At 43.9% G+C, this 24694-nt stretch overlaps 1 protein-coding gene across 4 annotated transcripts in view, besides 2 other annotated features; it reads left to right on the top strand.

Moving 5' to 3' along the window:
- Positions 1-24694, top strand: part of MRTFA (myocardin related transcription factor A) — a 226431-nt gene that overhangs the window by 118625 nt on the left and 83112 nt on the right. The gene's annotated exons all lie outside the window — the stretch shown is intronic.
- Positions 6966-7510: an enhancer, noted in NCBI's record as "H3K27ac hESC enhancer chr22:40906589-40907133 (GRCh37/hg19 assembly coordinates)". NCBI's record gives its function as "activates a minimal SCP1, AML or CMV promoter by ChIP-STARR-seq in naive H9 embryonic stem cells {active_cell/tissue: H9 hESC(naive)}" and the evidence as "EXISTENCE:reporter gene assay evidence [ECO:0000049][PMID:30033119]".
- Positions 19161-19660: an enhancer, noted in NCBI's record as "H3K27ac hESC enhancer chr22:40894439-40894938 (GRCh37/hg19 assembly coordinates)". NCBI's record gives its function as "activates a minimal SCP1, AML or CMV promoter by ChIP-STARR-seq in primed H9 embryonic stem cells {active_cell/tissue: H9 hESC(primed)}" and the evidence as "EXISTENCE:reporter gene assay evidence [ECO:0000049][PMID:30033119]".

Raw genomic sequence — 24694 nt, 5'->3', positions numbered from 1 at the left:
TGGGAGAGAAGCATAGGGTGAGCTATGAGGGGGTTATGTGATGCTCCCATGCCTTCTCTGGGCATACGACCCCCAGAGCACCATCTGGGTTTATCAGTCTGGAAGCTCTCCAAACCCTGTCCTTTTTGGTTTCTATGGAGTCTTCATCATGTAGGCATGATTAATGACATCATTGGCCATTGATGAGTAGGTCAATCTCCAGCCCCTCTTGCATCCCCAGAAGTCAGAGTATGGTGGGGCTGCAAGTTCTAATCCTCTAACACATGATTGTTTTCCCTGGCAGCCAGCCCTCATCCATAAGGGCTTTCCAAAGTCAGCTCATTAACATAAACTCAGGTTTGGTTGAAAGGGACCTGTTATGAATAACAAAAGACGACTCCTTTTACCTTTGTTATTCTTAGGAAATTTCAAGGTCCAATTTTAGGACCTCGGTGCCAGGAGTGAAGACAAAGACCAAATATATATTTATTATAAATCACAACATTGCAGTGTGGCAGACCGTGTACCAAGCTCCTTACGTATATTAACTCTTATTCTTTGCAACAACTATGTGAGATGGGTGCTCTTATCCCATTTTACGGCTAAGATTGTACCCAGCTGGCCTGGGTTAAGAATCTGTGCTCTTTACCACTATACTATATTGCCTTTCATGTGAACTTCAAGCCCTTTTTCGGACCCTGTATGTTAGCTGTTGATAGGCTGTTCTAACTTGTCGAGGTTCCTTTGCTCCATTCTCCCAGTACTTAGCCTACCTGACTTTTTAGTCCCCCTTCCCTTCCTGTTTTATCTTTCCCTGCCAGAACACTACAACGTAAATGTAAAAAACAAAAAAACCTCCAACTTTTTCTTCTTTTAGAATATGTATTTTAAGGGGCCAGGCACAGTGACTCACACCTGTAATCCCAGCACTTTGGGATGCCAAGGCAGGAGGATTGCTTGAGTCCAGGAGCTCTAGAACAGCCTGGGCAACATAGTGAGACTGCCATTTCTACAAATAATGAAAAATTAGCCAGGCGTGGCAGTGCACACCTATAGTCCCAGCTGCTTGGGAGGCTGGGGCAGGAGAATTGCTTGAGCCCAGAAAGTCGAGGCTGCCGTGAGCTGTGATTGCACCACTGCACTCCAGCCTGGGTGACAGAGTGAGAGCCTGTCTCAAAAAAAGGAAAAAAAAAAGAAAAAAATTATGTTGTCCTAGACCTTCTTTCTGCATAGGAATGGCCTTCTTTTTTAAAAAATAAATTTGACATTTAAAAAAAGCTCTTGTACGATGAGCCCTAACCTTTGCATAGAAGCTTCCTTGTTTTTAACTGTGACTGTTGTACCTGTTCACAAGGATTAGAAGGGATGCTGTTTTGAATTACAGTCTAGTAATATTTCTGACTCTATACCTATGGCCAAAACCAGTGTCATATGCTTGAAACTAAGGAAAACTTCTAGCGTGTCTTGCCATAAACGTACATTAGACATTTTTTCCGTTGTAGCTAATAGTTTCTGTGGGTTGGAATTAAAATTAAACCTGTATATCTTTAGAGTAGGAACATTTGCTGTGTGAAGGTCCTTGTTGGCTCTGGTAAGAAAAAAGTTCCCTTGCTTATTCTCTTCCTTCTCTTCTGAGAAGGCTTTCAGAAACTTTTTTTTTTTTTCTTTTTCCTTTTTTTTTTTTTTTTTTTTTCTTGAGGCAGTCCCTCGCTCTGTGTCCCAGGCTGGAGTGTGATGGTGTAATCTTGGCTCACTGCAACCCCCACCTGCCAGGTTCAAGTGATTCTCCTGTCTCAGCCTCCCAAGTAGCTGCGACTACAAGGCACCTGCCACCACAGCCGGCTAATTTTTGTATTTTTAGTAGAGGCAGGATTTCGCCATGTTGCCCAGGCTGGCCTCGAACTCCTGACCTCAAGTGATCCACCCACCTTGACCTCCCAAAAGTGTTGGGATTACAGGCATGAGCCACCGTGCCTAGCCCAGAAACTTCTTAACAGCTGAGTTTTATATCAGCTAAGTCAGTCCTTGAGATGTTTGCAAATAATCTTCCATTGCTTTATCCTGAAGATCCTCTTGCATGTAGGCTTTTGGTCAACCGATTCAATGTTACTAAATATATGTTTAATCCCAACTAAGGTAGGTAGTTTGGATGTTTTTAGAAAAGTTTGAATTTGAGGAAATAGTATATTTATGTGTGTGTGTGTACAGAATTTGTCACGTGCTAGATGTTGCGTGGAAGTTGTTTGAGAATCTACTGAAAATGTGGTCGCCATCTGCACAGGGATTATATTCTGGTTTAGGTAGTTCAGAATAAGGGGTTAAATAATATCTAGTCCTGCAGTCAATATTTGTCCTTATATACTGGTAGGCGAGTTTCCTGATATGCATGGCTGCATTTTCTCTGTTCCTGCCTACCTCTTCAACTTTACCTGCTGCTGTTTTCTCTTTGCTTTCTAGGTTCCATCTGCCTCTCTGTTTTCTAGGTTCCTCCGCCACCTGAGTTCAAACGATTCTCGTGCCCCAGCCACCCAGGTAGCTGGGATTACAGGTGCATGCCACCACGCCCAGCCAGTTTTTGTATTTTTAGTAGAGATGGGGTTTTGCTCTATTGCCAGGCTGATCTCCAACTCCTGGCCTCAAGTGATCCACCTGACTCGGCCTCCCAAAGCGCTGGGATTACAGGCATGAGCCACCACACCCGGCCTAGTATGTGATTATTTTATGAGATTTTTGGGGGTTTTTAAATGTATATGTTTCTCACTAGACTGTAAATGCTATAAAGGCAGGTGTCTTATTTTTATTGTTTTAGCATTTTATATCCAGGATTTTATTAGGGTGCTTGATACATAGTAAATGCTGAGTAAACATATGTTAATGAATGAAATAAATGAATATGAAATATTGGAGAAGGCCGGGCACAGTGGCTCAGGCCTGTAATCCCAGCACTTTGGGTGGGTGAGGCAGGTGGATCACAAGGTCAGGAGTTGGAGACCAGCCTGGCCAATATGGTGAAACCTCGTCTCTACTAAAAATACAAAAAGTAGCCAGGCATGGTGCTGCTTGCCTGTAGTCCCAGCTACTTGGGAGGCTGAGGCGGGAGAATCGTTTGAACCCAGAAGGCGGAGGTTGCAGTGAGCCAAGATCGTGCCACTGCACTCCAGCCTGGGCGACAGAGTGAGACTCTGTCTCAAAAAAAAAAAAAAAAGGAAGAAATATTGGAGAAATTGAGGAGAAACCATTTCATTCTGTGTCCAGGTCCTTCAACCCAACTATTTCTCCAAAGAAATGTTTCCCTGAAGAGCATGTACAAACCGTTCCTTTGTAAGAGGTAGGAAGGGCTGGGCGTGGTGGCTCACATCTGTAATCTCAGCACTTTGGGAGGCCGAAGCGGGTGGATCACTTGAGGTCAGGAGTTTGAGACCAGCCTGGCTAACATGGTGAAACCCTGTCTCCACTAAAAAAAAACATACAAAAATTACCCGGGCATGGTGGCTTGCATCTATAATCCCAGCCACTCAGGAGGCTGAGGCAGAGAATTGCTTGAACCCGGGAGGTGGAGCTTGCAGTGCACCAAGTTCATGCCATCGCACTCCAGCCTGGGCGACAGAGTGAGACTCTGACTCAAAAAAAAAAAAAAAAAATGTAGGAGGGACATTTTTGTTTTTGGCCATCTGTAACTCCCCCCTCCCCACCATTCATTTTAAGAAACATGATTCTCAATTCTTAGGAAATTATAAAGATATATAAACCACAGTTTTCATATCCACATTCCTGAATGGATACACCTCTCCCCAGAGTTGAATCAGAGGTTTCTCTTTTTAACTTTTATTATTTATTTATTTATTTAATTATGTATTTATTTGTAGAGATGGGATCTTGCTCTGTTGCCCAGGCTGGAGTGCAGTGGCGTGATCTTGGCTCACTGCCAACCTGGGTTCAAGCGATTCTCTTGCCTCAGCCTCCCGAGTACATGGGACTGCAGGTACATGCCACCATGTCTGGCTAATTTTTTTGTATTTTTTAGTAGAGATTGGGTTTTGCCGTATTAGCCAGTCTGTTCTCTATCTCTTCACCTCACTCAGGTGATCTGCCTGCCTCGGCCTCCCAAAGTGTTGGGATTACAGGTGTGAGCCACCGTGCCCGGCCTCTTTTTAACTTAAAAAAAAAAAATTATTACTTTAACTAGAGACAGGCTCTCACTATGTTGCCCAGGCTGGTCTCAAACTCCTGGCTCAAGTGATTCTTCTGCCTCAGCCTCCCAAAAATGCTAGGATTACAAATGTGAGCCATCACGCCCAGCCCAAAAGTTGTCTCTTATTAAGGAGCTAGCACATATTTAAAAGCACTACATATTTTGCCTTACTGATTAGTGATTTTATTTTTTTATTAATGTACTTAGTTTTGTTCAGGATTTGGAGATCATTGTGGCATATTTAAGTCAAAGGACTCATTTTTTTTTTTAAATGGCAAGCATTTTGTCTTTTCCTTTTCTTTTTCTTTTTTTTTTTTTTTTGAGATGGAGTCTTCGCTCTTGTTGCCCAGGCTGCAGTGCAATGGTGTGATCTTGGCTCACTGCAACCTCTGCCTCCTGGGTTTAAGTGATTCTCCTGCCTTAGCCTCCCAAATAGCTGGGATTACAGGCACACACCACCATGCCCAGCTAATTTTTGTATTTTTAGTAGAGATGGGGTTTCACCATGTTGGCCAGGCTGGTCTCGAACTCCTGATCTCAGGTCATCCACCCGCCTTGGCCTCCTAAAGTGGTGGGATTACAGGCGTGAGCCACCGTGCCAGGCCTGCAAGAAGTTTAACAGCTCAAACTCAAACCAAGAGTGTTAGTGTTTTAATATTTCTGCTTCTTGTCCGTTAATTCTTACCTCCTGCATCTCAGAATACTTCTAAGGTTTCTAAGATTGACACTTTTTGTGAGAGATTTGGTACTCCTGAACACTTTTGGCTTAGACTACTCAGTTTCAAAAATTGTTTTCATAAGCTCATCAGATGGCTTTAAACTTGGTGTGGTGGTAGTGGGATGAAAGTGCCACAAACAGACTCACTCCTTGTAAAACTTTCCTTTCTTCTAATTATTTTGTTACTTTAAGCTTTCTAAATTGTCTGTGTTACCTAGAAATTTCTTTTCATAGCAAAATAGTTACATAAAATAAAATTTAGAGAATTTATAGTTTAACAAATGTTCATAACTAATCATGATAAAGATGGATCAGTTAAAGTTTACAAATTACTTTTAAGATGCACATTGCGAAGTGGTGGTGTTATGGGTATGAATTTCTTAGCTTTTCAGGATGTCATCCTTTTAGCCCTGTAGCTAAAACTCAAGAGGCTACATGTTCAACCATAAAACATTAGCCTCTGCCAACATTACATCAGCTCCACAAAACCTCACTGGCTAATTATCCCTTGGGACTAGGACATGGATTTGGCAGCTTGTGAAAGCTGCTTTTTCCAATTTCTCCCTTACTGGCTGTGACATATCCCAAAGGAATGAAGTTGAGAAATAATCATCTTTCGAAAGCTCTCAACCTCTCATTCCCACAGTGGTTCTCATGGTTAGGGATAGATGATCCTTTCTTCCACTTGAGGAATCCCTTTAGCTTATGATGTATTCTTTCAGTAGTAACCAAGGTACCCTGAGTGGAAGGATGATGGCAAGGATCCTCATTAGGTATGTTTCTAGGTGATTGTCTATAAGGAATTTAATGCTTCTGTTAGGATCTTCTTTATATTACCAAAATTGAAGAAGCTGGAAGACCAGCATTGGGACCCATGTGTGGTTATCATCTGTGTCCATTGACATTTGCTGTAAGAATTAGTATTGCTCATTTAACATCTCCTTTTGATGAGCACCTGTAAAACAACTTTTTTGAGGACACTCTTGGATAGCAAAAAGAACTGTATGATCTTAATCTCTTTTAGCCTCAGTTTATTTATCCTAAAATAAAGATATGGTACTTGGCCTTATTTTCCTCACAAGGGACCGTAAGGATGGAAGGAGATGACACATATGAACTAATTTCATAGTGACCTACTAGTCACCCTATATAGTGGGCCCATTCTAGGCCTCATCTCACCTGTTCTATGTTCCCTCCTCGTTCTGTACTACTCAGGATTTTTCACATAATCTTGGTTCACCTAAGCATAAAATAAATATATTGGAAAAGTATTGGATAGTGCACAGCCTTAAAAGGAAGGCTGGATAACACAGTTCAGAAAATGAGCAGAAACTGAGTGAGGCAAGACATAGTAAAGACCATGTAATGGGATCAGTTGGCTGAGGACTCTCTCTAGCACTGCTTGCTGGACCTTCTCTGCCACTGCTGCTGGCCTGGTCTCCCATGAACATCTGTTACTACTGGCACTGCCACCAGTAGGCACTTGCCACAGTGCCATGAATAATTTCTGATTATATTTTCCACCTTTGTGTTATTCTTTCAATATTCAAAGATCTACATAGGAGGATCTGATTGACTTGGGTTATATATTTGTGAACTAGATGCCAGGGAACAGAGAGAGGGAATTTCTGTTACTGTCAGTTCCTGTAGTGGGAAAAGGTGACTGCCTTTCCCCGTCTTAGAATTTCCTCCAAATAGGAAAGGTATTCACATGTGATACGTGTATATGTATCTATATCCCTGACCTGTTTACTGAGTTCTAGATTCAGTTAATCCACTAATTCTTCCCACCTGGACATCTAAATGACTAGTGTGCACTTAAAACTGATATCGCCATTCTCAGTGACTACTCCCAACCTGCATTCCCTAATTTATAGTGCCAGTTGCCCTAGCCAGAAAATTAGGAGTCAGTCTCAATTCCTCCTTTCTTGTTGTACTTGTCATATCTATTTGACTTGTGAGTTCTCTAGATTTTACCTCTACCTTGACTTCTTATATTTTGTCTCTCTGCCCTATATCATATTGTCAGCATTTTTCTCTGTGGTTTCAGGGGACTTGTTATTGGGCTCCCTGGCTATAGTTCAACTCTCCTCCAATCTGTCCATTCAGCTGCCAAGATACTTTCGCTAACTACCAATTCTAATCATTTTCTTTCTCCTGCTCAGAATTCTTCCATTTCTTGTGGGGTAAAACTTAAGCTATTTTATTTGTCTGGTCTCTGACTATGTGGTTATCTCATATCACTTCCAAACTCACAGTCCCCAGCAGTACTGACCAGCTTTTGGTTCCCAGAACACTTCGTGCTTTTTTTAAAAAAAGCACATATATTCCTTTGCATATAACCGTTAGTCTTTCTGCTTGCCAGCCTTCTGGCCTCACTTCAAGGGCTGTCTCTTCTGAGATGTGTGCTGTCTTTGATTCCCCCAGAAACTTCGGTGCCCCTTCTGCTGTGCTCTCCTTATGTTTACTGCATACCACCAAAGACTGATTGTTTGCTGCATTTTCATTCCTAGCAGGTCTCATTGTTAGAAGTATGGCCCCTTTAAAGCAGGGGTGGTATCCAATTTCTGTATTGCCAGTTCCTAACACATAGCAGGTACATAATAATTTTTATTTAATGATTCAGTGAAAGCACTTTGAGAAGTAAAGCACTGTACACATGATATTTTCATCACTGGCATTTTCTTGTAAGCATTTAGGACCTTTTGAACTCTAAAATTCTGTTTTGTATTAATCTGTTTCTGGAGAACATTTCGGGTTTTATTTCAATCAATTATTTATCTGCAGGTGGCCAGAGGTTCAAGAACCCTACCAGCCCCTCACATGAGCTTGCCTTCTTTGTGATCAGCCTTATATATTCCTTCACCGAGAAGTTGCTTAAATGTACTTTCCTTTAGTTTTCCCGGCCTCTCACCTAATGTACATTTTAATCCTGAATCATGATTTGCTTAATGTGTGACACCATTCCTTACCCCCAGCCACTAATTCAATCACTTTACTTTAGTTGTCCTAGTTATTGTAAATTATACAGTGGCTGGGACCTTACACTGTATTGGTACTCCAGAGACTATCTAGAGAATCTGGAGACATATCTGTCAATTTGACTGGATTGCTGGTTCTGCAATTCTTTTTCTCTCATCCCACAGCTCTCATTTGGGTTCTGTACTCCCACTGGGGGCCTTGGCAGAGCAAACAGTATTAACTTCACTTTTTTTTTTTTTTTAAAGTACTTGGCTGCTGTTTCTTGATTTACTGCAGTGGGAAGAATACGTTTTGATTTTTTTTTTTTTTCTTGTTCCTCCCTCTGAGGGAGCCTGCGTCATTGAGAAATGTTTAACCTCATGGCCTTGCACTGGGGCTGGAAATTTGCCTAAGGGAACTTGAAGTTGGCAGTATTTTTTCTCAAATTCCTCCTTATGAGGAGGGGGATTTCAGCAAGACCTGCCCAAACAGGAAGATGTTGGGAAATTTTTAGTAGCAAAGCTGTTGCCATTAGATTACTGAAAGTATTTGAAGAGTTTTCTGGAGATAAACTTAGGTATTTTGAATTTCCACTAGGAGAAAGCAGTAGCTTCTATCAGGTATAAACAAAAATTCAGGCCGAGAAACTTAGCTTTTCAGTTGTGTGGTATGTTGTTATCAGAAAACTTTGACCAGCTGGATGAGAAAGAGAAGCTCACCAGAAAGTTTAGAAACTCTCACTTAGGGAAAATAGCCTTAGGCTGAGGCAAACCTCTTTCGGCTATGGGGAGAATTTGGCTTTTTATCAATCCTGGATTATCCTAAGAGTAGGTCATAACAGGGATATTTTTGACAAATCTTTCTTTCAAATACTTAATGATATTGGCATTATATTCTGTGTACAAAATACTTAGTTGACACAAACAAGATATTTGCCCAGTAAGAGTTAGAATGGATGATCTTTTGTGCCCAAAAGTGATTTCCCTAATAGGGGAAGGTGTGAACCAGGAAATATTTAGAATGTGACCACCTCTGCTTATTTTAATCTTTGTATCACAGATGAGGAAAAGTTGTATAGTTGTTTGCCAGTATGAAATGATAAGCTGAGCAGGCACTGGACCCTGGCAAAGGAAGAATTGTATAGTTAAACAATTTGTGGCAGCTTTGTGACTTCCTCGAAAATTGGAAATAATTACTCAGTACTAAATACAAATACAAGCATTCCTGCCCACTCTAAAAGATACTGTCTACCATCTTTTCTTTCTGTGCAATGTATTTTCTGCTGTTAGCATGGATGTTTGAGGGTTGAGCTGTTGATACCAGCACCTTGTTAAAAGCTACCGTGAACACAAAGCATATGATAATCTTAGAAACCAAGTTCTTTTTTTTTTTTTTTTGGTAGAGGCAGAGTCTCGCTATGTTGCCCAGGCTGGTCCTGAGCTCAAGTGATTCTCCTGTTTTGGCCTCCAAAATTGTTGGGATTACAGGTGTGAGCCACCATGCCCAGCCAGAAGCCAGACTCTTACTTTGCAAAAAAAAAAGTACCCTCAAACCACAGTTACAATGGAAAGAACATATTACTAACATTCTTCCACCTTAAAGAAACTTCCAATTGAGAGACAACCTCAACTGTGAGGCCAAAGATTTCAGTATGAACAGAATACATTATATCCATAGAAAGTGGTAATGAGTCTAAATGAATCCTTTTTTTTTTTTTTTTTTTTTTTTTTTGAGAGACGGAGTCTGTCTCTGTTGCCCAGGCCGGAGTGCACTGGCATGATCTCAGCTCACTGCAACCTCTGCTTCCCGAGTTCAAACAATTCTCCTGCCTCAGCCTCCTGAGTAGCTGAAATTACAGGCATGCACCACCACGCCCAGCTAGTTTTTTTGTACTTTTAATAGACGTGGGGTTTCACCATGTCGGTCAGGCTGGTCTTGAACTCCTGACCTCAAATGATCTGCCCGCCTCGGCCTCCCAAAGTGCTGGAATTACAGGCATGAGCCACTGTGCCCAGCACGTAAATAAATCTTATTGGGAATAGACAAACACATTTTTTCACATCCTATCAGCATCTGTGATTTATTTGAATTTTTGTTGTTTACTTAATCAAATTGGGGACGAATCTAATTGTCTTCAATTGCTGCTAGGAGAAACTTATGTTTCCCTAGAAGCCACTGTGCTAATCTTAGTAACAGCACCTGTGCCCAGGTACTGTTCTACGTACTTTATATATAAATCAACTCCTTTTTTTTTTTTTTTTTTTTTTTTTTTGAGGTGGAGTCTTGCTCTCTCTTGCTCTGTTTCCCAGGCTGGAGTGCAGTGGCTTGATCTCGGCTCACTGCAACCTCTGCCTCCCGGGTTCAAGCAATTCTCATTCCTCAGCCTTCCTGGTAGCTGGGACTACAGGTGTGTGTCACCATGCCTGGATAATTTTTGTATTTTTAGTAGAGACGGGGTTTCGCCATGTTGGTCAGGCTGGTCTCTAATTCCTGACCTCGTGATCCACCCACCTTGGCCTAAGGTGCTGGGATTACAAGCGTGAGCAACTGCATCTGGCCTAAATCAACTTCTTTAGTCCTTGAAATAACCCAGTGGTTCTTAATCTAGGACAATTTTTTTTTTTCTTTCAGAGAGGGCCTTGCTCTGTCACACAGGTGGGAGTGCAGTGGCACCGTCATAGCTCACTGCAGCCTTGACAGGCTCAAGTGATCCCCCCACCTCAGCCTCTCTAATAGCTAGGACTGCAGGCACCCTTCTAATTTTTTGTATTCTTTTTAGAGACAGGATTTTGCCATGTTACCCAGGCTGGTCTCGAACTCCTGGGCTTAAGTGAGCCCTGGCGCCCAGCTGGGAAGTTTGTTTGTTTCTTTTTTTTTTCTTTTTGACATAGGGTCTCACTCTGTCACCCAGGCTGGAGTGCAGTGGTGCAATCACTGCTCACTGCAGCCTCGAACTCTCAGGCTCAAGTAATTATCCTGCCTCAGCCTCTGAAGTAGCTGGGACTGCAGATGCATGCCACCACGCCTGGCTAATTTTTTGTATTTTTTGTAGAGATGGGGTTTTGCCTTGTTGCCCAGGTTGGTCTCAAATTCCTGCACTGAAGTGATCCACTTGCCTGGTCTCCCAAATTGCTGGTTTTACACGTTTGAACCACCATGCCTGGCCAAAGGAGAAGTTTCTAAGATTGTAGTATGCTTCTCTTGGGGCATAGCAGCTTTTAACAAGGTGCCATTGGAGACCGTAATGTATCCTAGTCAGAATTCACCAACCATAATAAGCAGAATCAGCATTTCTTATATGTGGTCATTGAAGAATTAAAATAATGGTGTATTCAGCAATATTTCATTGACATATTTTATAGAGCACTTTTTGTGTGTCACATGTGCTTGCTGGTAGCTAGTACACTCGGTTAGCTGTTTGCTAATAGTATTATGCTACTATATTTTTAAACTCTCCTTAAACAGTGAAAATGGTGATAAATGGGGGTCATTAGTTTTAGAGACATGGTATATAGAAAAACAGTAGTTGATAAATGCAGCAGTCAGAATGAGCTAGTTGAATAAAGTCATGATTCATCACCCCCCCATTTAGAGAATTATTATTTGCCTAAGATTCTTAACAAGTAGGTTGGAATAAGTCCCTGAACATCCAACCTCGTTGGGCACTGAAGAAGCCACATCTCCTTCAAATGCCAGTGAGACGTAGATTGTAAGATATTGGGGATAAATACCACAGTTTCTTAATAGTAAAGAGCTGGGTGTTCAGTTCCCATTAATATGTAAATATTGCATAAAACTGAGTTATGCTGGGAAGTATAAGTGTGCATCTGTGCACAATCTTATTTTCTAGACTACTTGGCAAATTACCTTACTGCAGAGATCATTTTTGTGGGGAAGTTCACTACAGTGGGAAGCAGATCACATTCAAGAAGGGATTATATTTTATATACTATATTTTATCAAAGAATTGGTGTCATAATGCACTTTATTTATTTTTTTTTGAGATAAGAGTCTCGCTCTGTCGCCCAGGCTGGAGTGGCTGGAGTGCAGTGGCACAATCTCGGCTCACTGCAAGCTCCGCCTCCCGGGTTCACACCATTCTCCTGCCTCAGCCTCCCAAGTAGCTGGGACTATAGGCGCCCGCTACCATGCCCGGCTGATTTTTTTGTATTTTTAGTAGAGACAGGGTTTCACCGTGTTAGCCAGGATGGTCTCGATCTTCTGACCTGTTGATCCACCTGCCTTGGCCTCCCAAAGTGCCTGGATTACAGGTGTGAGCCACCGCGCCTGGCCAATGCACTTTAATAATATAATCTATGTTATATCTACTTTTTCTTTATAATTGTCTTAGTTCATTTTGTGCTGCTGCAACAGAATACCTGACACTGGGTAATTTATTAAGAACAGAAATTTATCTCTCATAGTTCTAGAGGCTGAGAAGTCCTAAGATCAAGGAACCAGCAGGTTTGGTTGTCTTGTGAGGGCTGCATCCTCTGCAGGGGAAGAAGAACGCTGTGTCCTCATATGGCATAAGGCAGAAGGGCAAGCCACCCGAAAGCTGTGTGAAGCCTCTTTAATAAGGGCTTTAATCCCATTCATGAGGGAGGTTCCCTCATAGCCTAATCATCTTTTAAAGGCCTCACCTCCTAATACTATCACGTTGACAACTCCTGAATTTTGGAGGGGACATATTCAAACCATGGCATTACTTATTGAACAGTAAGATTAGCTACCATGTATTGACTACTTCTCTTGTATCGGGCACTTTAAGTAGTTATGTCATTTAACTCCAATAGCAATTCTTTAAGATAAGTAAAATTTTACTTTGCAAGAAACTGGAACCTAGCTGATAAATGCTGAAGTTAGAGTTTAAACCCTTGACCTCAAAACACCTGACTATTAAGCCATGTAGTCTCTTGATTAGATACAGTATGAGAGAGGATGGATAAGACTCATAGATAATTTTTTAACTTCATTTTGACATAAATGTCGATCCCTACAGTCTAGATGTTATCGTTAGCAGGGGCTAATTTTGAGTTTGAGGTCTTTCCATTTCCCTTTGCCTGAAAGTTGGCAATGATGATAAATTACTAAGAATTCAGTAATTTGTGAGCATCTGTTGAAAGACAGTGGACTAGATGCTGTGAGTATCTGATAATGTTTATTGAGTATCCATTGCATAGAGCTCTGTTTTATTTTGTGGCCAAAAAAAGTAAACAACATGGCTAATCCTTTTCCTCAAAGAGCTTAGCATTCGGTTGGGGATAGATATAGTCATTATGCTACAAAATAAGAGGAAACTTTATCCTGAAGGTACAGCAAGTAGAGGATCAGCTTTTTGAGAAGGTTTCTTAGAATAGGTAAGTTTTAAGCCATGTTTGTAAGATGATGGACATGAAGGGGTGGCGGGACTGAGTTTCCTCAAAGATACTATATCCAGAGAATTCATTCCAATTTGGAATGTTTCATAATTTAAAAAAGAGTGGCATGGCCTTTGTCACACATCTTGAGGTTCATTCTAAGTTGAGGATTCTGATCAAATCCTCTTCAGGTTTCTCACTTACATAAGTAACTGCTTTCCTCTTTCTTTCCTTGTCATTTAGATTGCTTACATTTGTGTGGGTGAAGTTTTAAGATCTAGTTTCAGAAAATAATTTTCAGTTCCTTGTTTTCATAAAAATATTAGAATTAGAAGTAATGTTAAATTGTTTTTCACCACTCATCTGGTTTTATTAATCAGAAAAGGTACTGTTTCCTAACAGAAAGGCTGATGTGATGTACTGACTTGTTTGGAACCAGCCATGGCCTAATTTCTGATTAGATATAGCATTTATCTTGAGATTATCTGATAATTTAAGTCTTTGTATTTTTTTAGAGACCAGGTCTTCCTCAGGCTGGAGTATAGTGATGTGATCATAGCTTAGTACAGCCTTGAACTGTTGGGTTCTGGTGATCCTTCTGCCTTAAATTTCCAAGTACCTGGGATTACAGATGTGAGCTACTATGCCCAGCTACAAGAACTTGAGTCTTAAGAAATTTGAGAAGTCTAGGTTAATTTTTTTTCAGCCACAAAGCAATTAGGTAGTCAGTTATGAATTTTTATATCTAATTTTCAATTATAAAATATTTGTTTTCTTAAAATAATGAACTTATGCAGAGAAGGCTCATCATCCTCAGTTCAGTTTTGAACTTTATTTACCATTTACATTTAAAGCTGTGAAATTAATTTTATATAAATTTAACTGAATCTTTTGAATTAATCTATGAAGTTTCAGGCAGTTTATTATTTTTTAAGTATCCTGGGAATTTTTTTTTTTTTAAACTTGAGACAGTCTTGCTCTGTTGCCCAGGCTGAAGTGCAGTGGCACGATCTCAGCTCACTGCAACCTCTGCCTCCTGGGTTCAAGGGATTCTCCTGCCTCAGCCTCCTGAGTAGCTGGGATTACAGGCATGCGCCACCATGCCTGGCTAAGTATTTTTAGTAGAGATAGGGTTTTGCCTTGTTGGCCAGGCTGGTTTCCAACTCCTGACCTCAAGTGATCCACCTGCCTTGGCCTCCCAAAGTGTTGGGATTACAGGCGTGAGCCACTGCGCCCAGCCAGTATCCTGGGAAACACTGATGCCTTCTTTGCAGTACAGCCTTGATAAAGACTATTTGTTGTTGATCAATAATATCGGAGTCTCAAGCTAAGTATATGTGATAAAGGACACTCCACTCTAAAAATAACATTATAGGCTGGGCACGGTGGCTCACACTTGTAATCCCGGTACTTTGAGAAGCCGAGGCGGGCAGATCACTTGAGGCCAGGGGTTCGAGACCATCCCAGCCAACTTGGCAAAACCTTTGTCTCTACTAAAAGTACAAAAGTTAGCTGCGCATAGTGGCACACGCCTGTAATCATGCCTGGCCCCCAGACTACATTTCTGATTTTGTTGACAGTTCATAATGTGGAGAAATTAATTGTCTGGTGACATCTGAACCACTTAAAAAGAGTAAATGGTGATACATTATGGGATGATCACACAGTTGTGGTGAAGCACAAATGAACAGATTTCTAGCCTTGTTAGTTCAGTTCTGCATCTAAAGTGAAGAACCTGCCTTTGTGGTTTCTTTAGACTCTTCTTGATGATACACAGTACAGCTTGGAGGCCTTTAAGCAGAATAGAGCAGAGCAGGGAGGCACAGGTTGTTCAGAAGCTTTACTAGCTGCTGGTTTCCCTGTGCGTAGATGAGGGTGTGTGGGTGTATTGGGGAAGGGGGATGGGAAAAGTGGAGAAGGGGAGCAAGTAGGTATCCTCTGTGACACTAGGAAGGAAAAAAGATCCTAGCGTTTCCTGGAAGCGTGACAGTTAATCTACAGAGGACTATCTTCATAAAGGAGATTGTAAACCACCAATAAAAGAAAGCAATATGGGGGGAGGATGGAGTTCAGCGGGCAGCGGAGCTGTCTCAGTCTTTGCCGCCGCGCCGGCGAGCGCCGCCCGGGAGGCAGCGGCTGGAGAAGCAGACGGGCCCCGCGGGGCCCGAGGGCAAGGAGCAGCCGCCTGCCTTGGCCTCCCAAAGTGCCGAGATTGCAGCCTCTGCCCGGCCGCCACCCCGTCTGGGAAGTGAGGAGTGTCTCTGCCTGGCCGCCCATCGTCTGGGATGTGAGGAGCCCCTCTGCCTGGCTGCCCAGTCTGGAAAGTGAGGAGCGTCTCCGCCCGGCCGCCATCCCATCTAGGAAGTGAGGAGCGCAGCCGCCATCACATCTAGGAAGTGAGGAGCGTCTCTGCCCGGCCGCCCATCGTCTGAGATGTGGGGAGCGCCTCTGCCCCGCCGCCCCATCTGGGATGTGAGGAGCGCCTCTGCCCGGCCGAGACCCCGTCTGGGAGGTGAGGAGCGTCTCTGCCCGGCCGCCCCGTCTGAGAAGTGAGGAGACCCTCTGCCTGGCAACCACCCCGTCTGAGAAGTGAGGAGCCCCTCCGCCCGGCAGCCGCCCCGTCTGAGAAGTGAGGAGCCTCTCCACCCGGCAGCCACCCCATCTGGGAAGTGAGGAGCGTCTCCGCCCGGCAGCCACCCCGTCCGGGAGGGAGGTGGGGGGGGTCAGCCCCCCGCCCGGCCAGCCGCCCCGTCCGGGAGGTGAGGGGCGCCTCTGCCCGGCCGCCCCTACTGGGAAGTGAGGAGCCCCTCAGCCCGGCCAGCCACCCCGTCCGGGAGGGAGGTGGGGGGGTCAGCCCCCCGCCTGGCCAGCTGCCCCGTCCGGGAGGGAGGTGGGGGGGTCAGCCCCCCGCCCGGCCAGCCGCCCCGTCTGGGAGGTGAGGGGCGCCTCTGCCCAGCCGCCCCTACTGGGAAGTGAGGAGCCCCTATGCCCGGCCAGCCGCCCCGTCCGGGAGGGAGGTTGGGGGGTCAGCCCCCCGCCCGGCCAGCCGCCCTGTCCGGGAGGGAGGTGGGGGGGTCAGCCCTCCACCCGGCCAGCCGCCCCGTCTGGGAGGTGAGGGGCGCCTCTGCCCAGCCGCCCCTACTGGGAAGTGAGGAGCCCCTCTGCCCGGCCAGCCGCCCTGTCCGGGAGGGAGGTGGGGGGGTCAGCCCTCCACCCGGCCAGCCGCCCCGTCTGGGAGGTGAGGGGCGCCTCTGCCCGGCCGCCCCTAATGGGAAGTGAGGAGCCCTTCTGCCCGGCCAGCCGCCCCGTCCGGGAGGGAGGTGGGGGGGTCAGCCCCCCGCCCGGCCAGCCGCCCTGTCCGGGAGGGAGGTGGGGGGGTCAGCCCTCCGCCGGGCCAGCCGCCCCGTCTGGGAGGTGAGGGGCGCCTCTGCCCGGCCGCCCCTACTGGGAAGTGAGGAGCCCCTCTGCCCGGCCAGCCGCCCCGTCCGGGAGGGAGGTGGGGGGGTCAGCCCCCCGCCCGGCCAGCCGCCCTGTCCGGGAGGGAGGTGGGGGGGTCAGCCCTCCGCTGGGCCAGCCGCCCCGTCTGGGAGGTGAGGGGCGCCTCTGCCCGGCCGCCCCTACTGGGAAGTGAGGAGCCCCTCTGCCCGGCCAGCCGCCCCGTCCGGGAGGGAGGTGGGGGGGTCAGCCCCCCGCCCGGCCAGCCGCCCCGTCCGGGAGGGAGGTGGGGGGGGTCAGCCCCCTGCCCGGCCGGCCTCCCCGTCCGGGAGGTGAGGGGCGCCTCTGCCCGGCCGCCCCTACTGGGAAGTGAGGAGCCCCTCTGCCCGGCCAGCCGCCCCGTCCGGGAGGGAGGTTGGGGGGTCAGCCCCCCGCCCGGCCAGCCGCCCCGTCCGGGAGGTGAGGGGCGCCTCTGCCCGGCCGCCCCTACTGGGAAGTGAGGAGCCCCTCTGCCCGGCCACCACCCCGTCTGGGAGGTGTGCCCAACAGCTCATTGAGAATGGGCCAGGATGACAATGGCGGCTTTGTGGAATAGAAAGGCTGGAAAGGTGGGGAAAAGATTGAGAAATCGGATGGTTGCCGTGTCTGTGTAGAAAGAAGTAGACATGGGAGACTTTTCATTTTGTTCTGCACTAAGAAAAATTCCTCTGCCTTGGGATCCTGTTGATCTGTGACCTTACCCCCAACCCGGTGCTCTCTGAAACATGTGCTGTGTCCACTCAGGGTTAAATGGATTAAGGGCGGTGCAAGATGTGCTTTGTTAAACAGATGCTTGAAGGCAGCATGCTCGTTAAGAGTCACCACCAATCCCTAATCGCAAGTAATCAGGGACACAAACACTGCGGAAGGCTGCAGGGTCCTCTGCCTAGGAAAACCAGAGACCTTTGTTCACTTGTTTATCTGCTGACCTTCCCTCCACTATTGTCCCATGACCCTGCCAAATCCCCCTCTGTGAGAAACACCCAAGAATTATCAATAAAAAAATAAATTAAAAAAAATAAAAATATAAAAAAAATAAAAAATGAAATGTTAAAAAAAAAATAAAAAAAATAAAAACTGTAACAAAAAAAAAGAAAGCAATATGAAAGTATGTTATTATTTCTCTTTGTAGGCATAGACTTTTACTTTAATGAAGCATAAAAAAAAAAAAATCATAGACTGGGCCGGGCGCGGTGGCTCATGCCTGTAATCCCAGCACTTTGGGAGGCCGAGGTGGGCAAATCACAAGATCAGGAGTTCGAGACCAGCCTGGCCAACATGGTGAAACCCCATCTCTACTAAAAATACAAAAAATTAGCTGGGTGTAGTGGTGAGCGCCTGTAATCTCAGCTACTAGGGAGGCTGAGGCAGGAGAATTGCTTGAACCCTGGAGGCGGACGTTGCGGTGAGCCGGTGAGCCGAGATCGTACCATTTCATTCCAGCCTTGGGGACAGAGTGAGACTCGGTCTCAAAAAAAAAAAAAAAAAAAAAAAAAGGTCTACTTGAAAATCTTGTCCAGGTTTCCTCTGCTTCTTAAATACTTGTTTTTGGGCTGAAGTGTCACACCTGGTTTTAATACAAAGGGAAATTTATGGTGAAAGTTGAAGTAAAATCAGTTTGACCCTTAAGGTGTCAGGTCACAGAGAAGACATTTTCTTTTTGTGTTTTATGTATGCCTTCAAAATCTTTAAATGACCAGTGTTGCTTACAGAGTCATTTGTAAGAAATAAACATTTTAAGAGGTAGTTAAAACATTTTTGAGGATGTAATTATAGGGAGGAAGGAGTTTTAAAATTTGGTTAAAAATTTTTTTTTCACAGATAAGGAGGTATTAAAATTTTAAAAAAGTTTTCTTCTGGCTTGAGAAATATGTTAATTTCTGTGCTGCTTTTCTCTTGGAAGGCATAATTACTCAAGTTACAGCCAGTTAGGAAACTCTCCTTTTATCTTGATTTTTCTGTTTCAGAAAGTTCTGCTTGTAGTCTGTGGTCAGTCCATAGTGTGCTCTGGCACCTCTGCTCCTCAGTTTTGTGTTCAGACTGCTTATCAGTGCTCTGTGTTGTCTGTGTTCTTTAAATGACTCAGTATTAGTCAGAGAATCAGAACAAGGAATCCAGGGAGAGATTGTGGCTGGTTCCCTATTTTGGGTGATAGATTTTATTTAATTTACTAGGTCATGTAATGCAGACAAGATGTTAACAGTTTGAGAAATCCTAAAGGAATGTAAGTTCCAAGCATGACATCTTTACGAGAAAAACGGTTGTGAATTCACTAAGATGTGAATTTAGAAATGTTAAACAGATCATTTTTATACCTTTCTTTCCCTTTTTTTCTACCCTGTGAATATTTTTGTCTGTGTTGTGGGACATCATTGTCTGTTCTAAAAGTGGAAAATTAATAATAAAATAAAAGGGACGATTGGCTGAACATTCTGTATACCCAACACACTGATTATTGATTGATTGATTAAATTCACCCTAAAACCGTATAAATTTGGTCATATTATCTTTATTTTCAGGTAAGGAAATGAAAGCTTAGAGAGGTTAAGTAACTTACTCAAAACCAGAGTTGGCAACAGGTGATAAGAGCTAAAATTTAAACAAAGGTCTGTCTGATTTCAAGTGCAAATTCCTAGCCACTGTATCATCCTGCCTGTGGCCTGCTCCTGAGAGGTAGAGATCTGCATAGGTCTTGGCCATACAAAAAGACATCTGGTTGGTTGTCTTGGGTGCTTTGATGGTTCATTTGTTTACTGTCTGTGTCTGTCTTCTCCCTCAGCACCTACCATATGCATGACACATACTCAACAAATATTTATTGAATGAGGCTGGGGACAGTGGCTCATGCTTATAATCTTACCGCTTTGGGAGGCTGAGGTGGGTGGATCTCTTGAGCCCAGGAATTCAAGACCAACCTGCGCAACATGGTGAAACCTCATCTCTACAAAAAAATGCAAAAATCAGCTGGGCATGGTAGCTTGTACCTTAGTCCCCGCTACTTGGGAGGCTGAGGTGAGAGGATCATCTCAGCCCAGGAGATCAGGGCTGCAGTGAGCTGTGATCATGCCACTGTACTCCATCCTGAGCTACAGAGTGAGACCCTGCCTCAAAAAAAAAAAAAAAAAAAAAAAAAAAAATATATATATATATATATATATGAAGTGTGTACCGTTAACTGTGGAAAATAGAAGCATGCTGACATTTTGTTTGGTAAATTTTTGTAAGTGCATGCTATATTTGTAAATATAGTAAAGTGCATTCTTTTTTTTGACACAGGGTCTTACTCTGTCACCCAGGTGCTGGAGTGCAGTGCTGTGATCTTGGCTTACTGCACCCTCCACCTCTCAGGCTCAAGCAGTCCTCCCACCTCAGCCTCCTGAGTAGCTGGGACTACAGGCATGCGCCACTACACCCATCTAATATTTTAAAAAGATTTTTTTGTAGAGACTGAGTTTTGCCATGTTGCCCAGACTGGTCTCCAACTCCTGAGCTCAAGCAGTCCACCAGCCTTGGCCTCCCAAAGTGCTGGGATTACAGGTGTGAGCTACTGTGCCCGGCCAAGGTACATCTTAAACTAATATTTATCAGGTTTGTTTATGGCATATGTAGCCTTTTACATAAGAAGAAAAGATTTACTACCCCATGCGATTTCCTTTTTTTTTTTGAGACAGTCTCTGTTGCCCAGGCTGAAGTGCAGTGGTGCGATCTCAGCTCACTGCAACCTCCGCCTCCCAAGTTCAAGCGATTCTCCTGACTCAGCCTCCTGAGTAGCTGGGATTATAGGCGTGCACTATCAAGCCTGGCTGATTTTTGTATTTTTAGTAGAGATGGGGTTTTACCATGTTGGTCAGGCTGGTCTCGAACTCCTGACCTTGTGATCCACCTGTTTTGGCCTCCCAAAGTGCTGGGATTACAGGCGTGAGCCAGCCTGACCCATATGATTTCTGAAGATTATTTTCCTCTTCCTCACCAGCCTCTCTGCTGCTGTCTTTGTCCCTCCTTGTTTCCACACTGCTGTCCAAATGACCTTTCTCTATTTCTCTTTCTCTCTATTCTCCATTCCTCAAGTAATTGTTATTTTCATAACTTTTGCTTTTGTGCGTTCCTCTGCCTTTGGTTGGAATGCCCTTCCCATCTTTTTGGTTTGACTTAAACAAAAATGATTTTAGATTTCAGTGCAGGTGCCTTCTCTCCTCCTGGAGGCCTTCTCTAACTCTCCAGCCCCAGCAAGGTCCCCTCTTCTTTGTCCTCATCAGAGCACTTACCATGCTGAGGGATTGTATAAATAGTTACAAGGCTGTCTCCGTTTCTTGAACAGCCTGTAGTGTCAACTCCATTTGGGCAGGTGTTTCACCTTTCTGTGTCCACAACACCTGGTACTTGATAGGCAGACAGTAAGTATTGACAGAAAAATGAAACAAAACAAAGGGTGTAGCTTTGCCAAATCCCACCATAAATCTTAGAGAACCATTCCATTTTAGAGATAGAGGACACCTTGTCTACTCCAGCCACTCCTTTGTAGAGATTAGTAATATTGCTGGAAACCAGGACTCCTGACTCAGCCTGGTGCCCTTTCTTGAGAAAAAGATTTTTGGCTTATTATAAAGACAGTAGTTATTTGATGTAGAAAATGTAGAAGATACAGATAAACAAAAGGGAGAAAGAGAAAATAGATTGTTCTATTCCAACCACCCAGATTGGTGACTGTGCTTCTACTCTCTCCTGTGCATATATAGAAACATGTATATGTATGTGTTACATAATTGTGTGAGGACAACAGCTCAAATTTACTGAGTGCTTATAGAATGGGCACTGTTTTAAGTCCTTTACTTAAAATGCATTTATTATGGATCTTGCTGGAAACCAGGACTCCTGACTCAGCCTGGTGCCCTTTCTTGAGAAAAAGATTTTTGGCTTATTATAAAGACAGTAGTTATTTAATGTAGAAAATGTAGAAGATACAGATAAACAAAAGGGAGAAAGAGAAAATAGATTGTTCTATTCCAACCACCCAGATTGGTGACTGTGCTTCTACTCTCTCCTGTGCATATATAGAAACATGTATATGTATGTGTTACATAATTGTGTGAGGACAACAGCTCAAATTTACTGAGTGCTTATAGAATGGGCACTGTTTTAAGTCCTTTACTTAAAATGCATTTATTATGGATCTGAGGTGAAACTGTTACTTTCATTTGACAGATGAGGAAATGGAGGCATAGAGATGTTAAATATCTCAAGGTCACAGCAGCTGCTAAGTGGTAGAGCCAAAATTTGAACCCAAGCAATCTAGCTGTAGAGCCTTATTATTATTATTATTATTATTAATTTATTTTTTTTTTTCTGAGACTGAGTCTCATTCTGTGGCCCGGGATGGAGTGCAGTGGTGCAATCTTGGCTCACTGCAACTTCCACCTCCCAGGTTCAAGCGCTTCTCCAGCCTCAGCCTCCCGAGTAGCTGGGATTACAGGCGTGTGCCACCACACCCGGCTAACTTTTATATTTTTAGTAGAGACCGAGTTTCACCATGTTGGTCAGGCTGGTCTCGAATTCCTGACTTCGTGATTCGCCCTCCTCAGCCTCCCAAGTGCTGGATTACAGGCATGAGCCACTGCACCCAGCCAGACAGTGTACTTTTTTTTTTTTTTTTTTTGAGATGGAGTCTCGCTCTATTGCCAGGCTGGAGTGCAGTGGCTTGATCTCGGCTCACTGCAACCTCCACCTCCCCGGTTCAAGCGACTCTCCTGCCTCAGCCTTTCAAGTAGCTGGGATTACAGGCGACCGCCACCACACTTGGCTAATTTTTATATTTTTAGTAGAGATAGTGTTACACCATGTTGGCCAGGCTGGTCTCAAACTCCTGACCTCAAGTGTTCCATTCACCTCGGCCTCCCAAAGTGCTGGGATATCAGGTGTGAGCCCCCACACCCAGCCCAGACAGTGTACTTTTTTTTTTTTTGAGACGGAGTCTTGCTCTGTGGCCCAGGCTGGAGTGCAGTGGCGCAATCTCGGCTCACTGCAACCTCCACCTCCCAGGTTCAAGTGATCGTCCTGCCTCAGCCTCCCGAGTAGCTGGGACTACAGGCGCCCGCCACCACACCTGGCTAATTTTTTTTGTATTTTTTTTTAGTAGAGACAGGGTTTCACTGTGATCTCGAGACGGTGTACTTTTTAAAGTATTTATTTAATTTTTATTTTTAGTAGAGACGGGGTCTCACTGTATTGCCCAGGCTGGTCTTGAACTCCTGGGCTCAAGCAATCCTCTCACCTCAGCCTCCCAAAGTGCTGGGATTACAGGCGTGAGCTACTGTGCTTTGCCAAGCCTGTACTCTTAACTATGCATAATATCTTGTAATCTGCTTTTTTAAAAAAAAAAAAGTTGAGATCAGTTTATATGCAGTAATAGTCACTTTTTTAGGGGTACAGTTCAGTGAGTTTTGCTAAAAGGTAAACCACCACCTTTTATCAAGACATATAGATTATTTCCATCACCTCCCAAAATTCCATTATGCCTCTTTGTAGAGTCTCCTTCCCTGTTTCCCAGCCCTTGGCAATCACTGATCTGATTTCTGCCTGTTGTTTTGCCTTGAAGCCTTCTGGCTTCTTTTAGCATAATAGTGCTTTTGAGGTTCATCAGTGTTGTTTCCTGTAACAATAGTTTATTGGGTTTTTAAAAATTGCTGAAGTAGTATTCTGTTAAAGGGGTGTACCATAATTTTTTTTTTTTTTTTAGACAGAGTCTGGCTCTGTTACCCAGGCTGGAGTGCAGTGGCATGATCTCGGCTCACTGCAGCCTTCGCCCCCTGGGCTCGAGTGATGCTCCTACCTTAGCCTCCTGAGTAGCTGGGATTACAGGTGCACACCAGTATACCTGGCTAATTTTTTAAGGTTTTTGTAGAGAAGAGGTCTCACTATATTGCCCTGGTTGGTCTTGAACTCCTTGGGTTCAAGTGATCCTCCTACCTTGGCCTCCCAAACTGTTGGGATTACAGGCATGAGCCACCGCATCTGGCCTGTATATAATTTTTTATTCCATTCACAAGTTGAAGAACACTTTTTGGCAATCACAAATAAAGCTGCTACGAATATTCACATATAGCTCTTTTTTTTAACCTAGTAGTTTTAATGACATGTTAATTACAATTAATATAAAATAATAATATCTCCCTTTATTACTAAAGTCAGATGAACTAAAAGGCATTTGAGTTTATTTTTATTTCAGAGACAATAGAAAAGCACTTTTCTCTAAGCCAATAGATAAGAGCTCTTTAATATAATTTGGTAGTGAAATACCACATACACGTGACACATATAAACCATATAGGCATAGAGACACACAGAAATCTAAGATCTTTCATTTACCAGTTTTCAAATAGTTTCTCTCTCCCACTTTAGACTATCAATTTCAATTACCTGCTTCATTCCCCTGAAGAGTTGTTAGCTAGGCAACTCTAAATTCACATTTCCAAAGACACGCTTCTTAGGTGAAACAAGGTAGACAATTTACATCAGGCACAGAACTGAGACCTAAACACTATTATCCAAAGACAATGTACAGTTCTTTATGTGGATGTATGTTTTCACTTCTCTTAGATAAATACTCAGGAATAGGATTACTGGGTTTTATGGTAAGTGTAAATTTATAAGAAACTCCCAAACTGTTTTTCTACATAGCATTATCGTTTTCCATCCTCCTCAGTAATGTCTGGGAGTTCCAGTTGCTCCTCATCCTTGATGACAAATCATTTATTGCTGGTATTTGTATTCTGACAGTAGCCAAGTAACAATCTCCACATGCTCTTGCTGGAAAAATTGTTGCTTAAATTAAGGATTTCTCATGTAAATTTTTCCTCTTTCATTTTCCTTTTCCTTTTCTTTCCACTTTATAAATATTTATTGAGCAGTTTACAGTGCAAGGGATGGACGAGCATCAGTGATTTTACTCTCAAAGTGCCCCTGTTGGCCCTGTGAGTAGAGGTCATGGCAGATGATTGTGACACTTTTGATTCT

This window comes from Homo sapiens, chromosome 22 (assembly GCF_000001405.40).
Source record: "Homo sapiens chromosome 22, GRCh38.p14 Primary Assembly".
Taxonomy (NCBI): Eukaryota; Metazoa; Chordata; class Mammalia; order Primates; family Hominidae; genus Homo; species Homo sapiens.
This window is presented reverse-complemented; position numbering and strand designations above follow the sequence as displayed.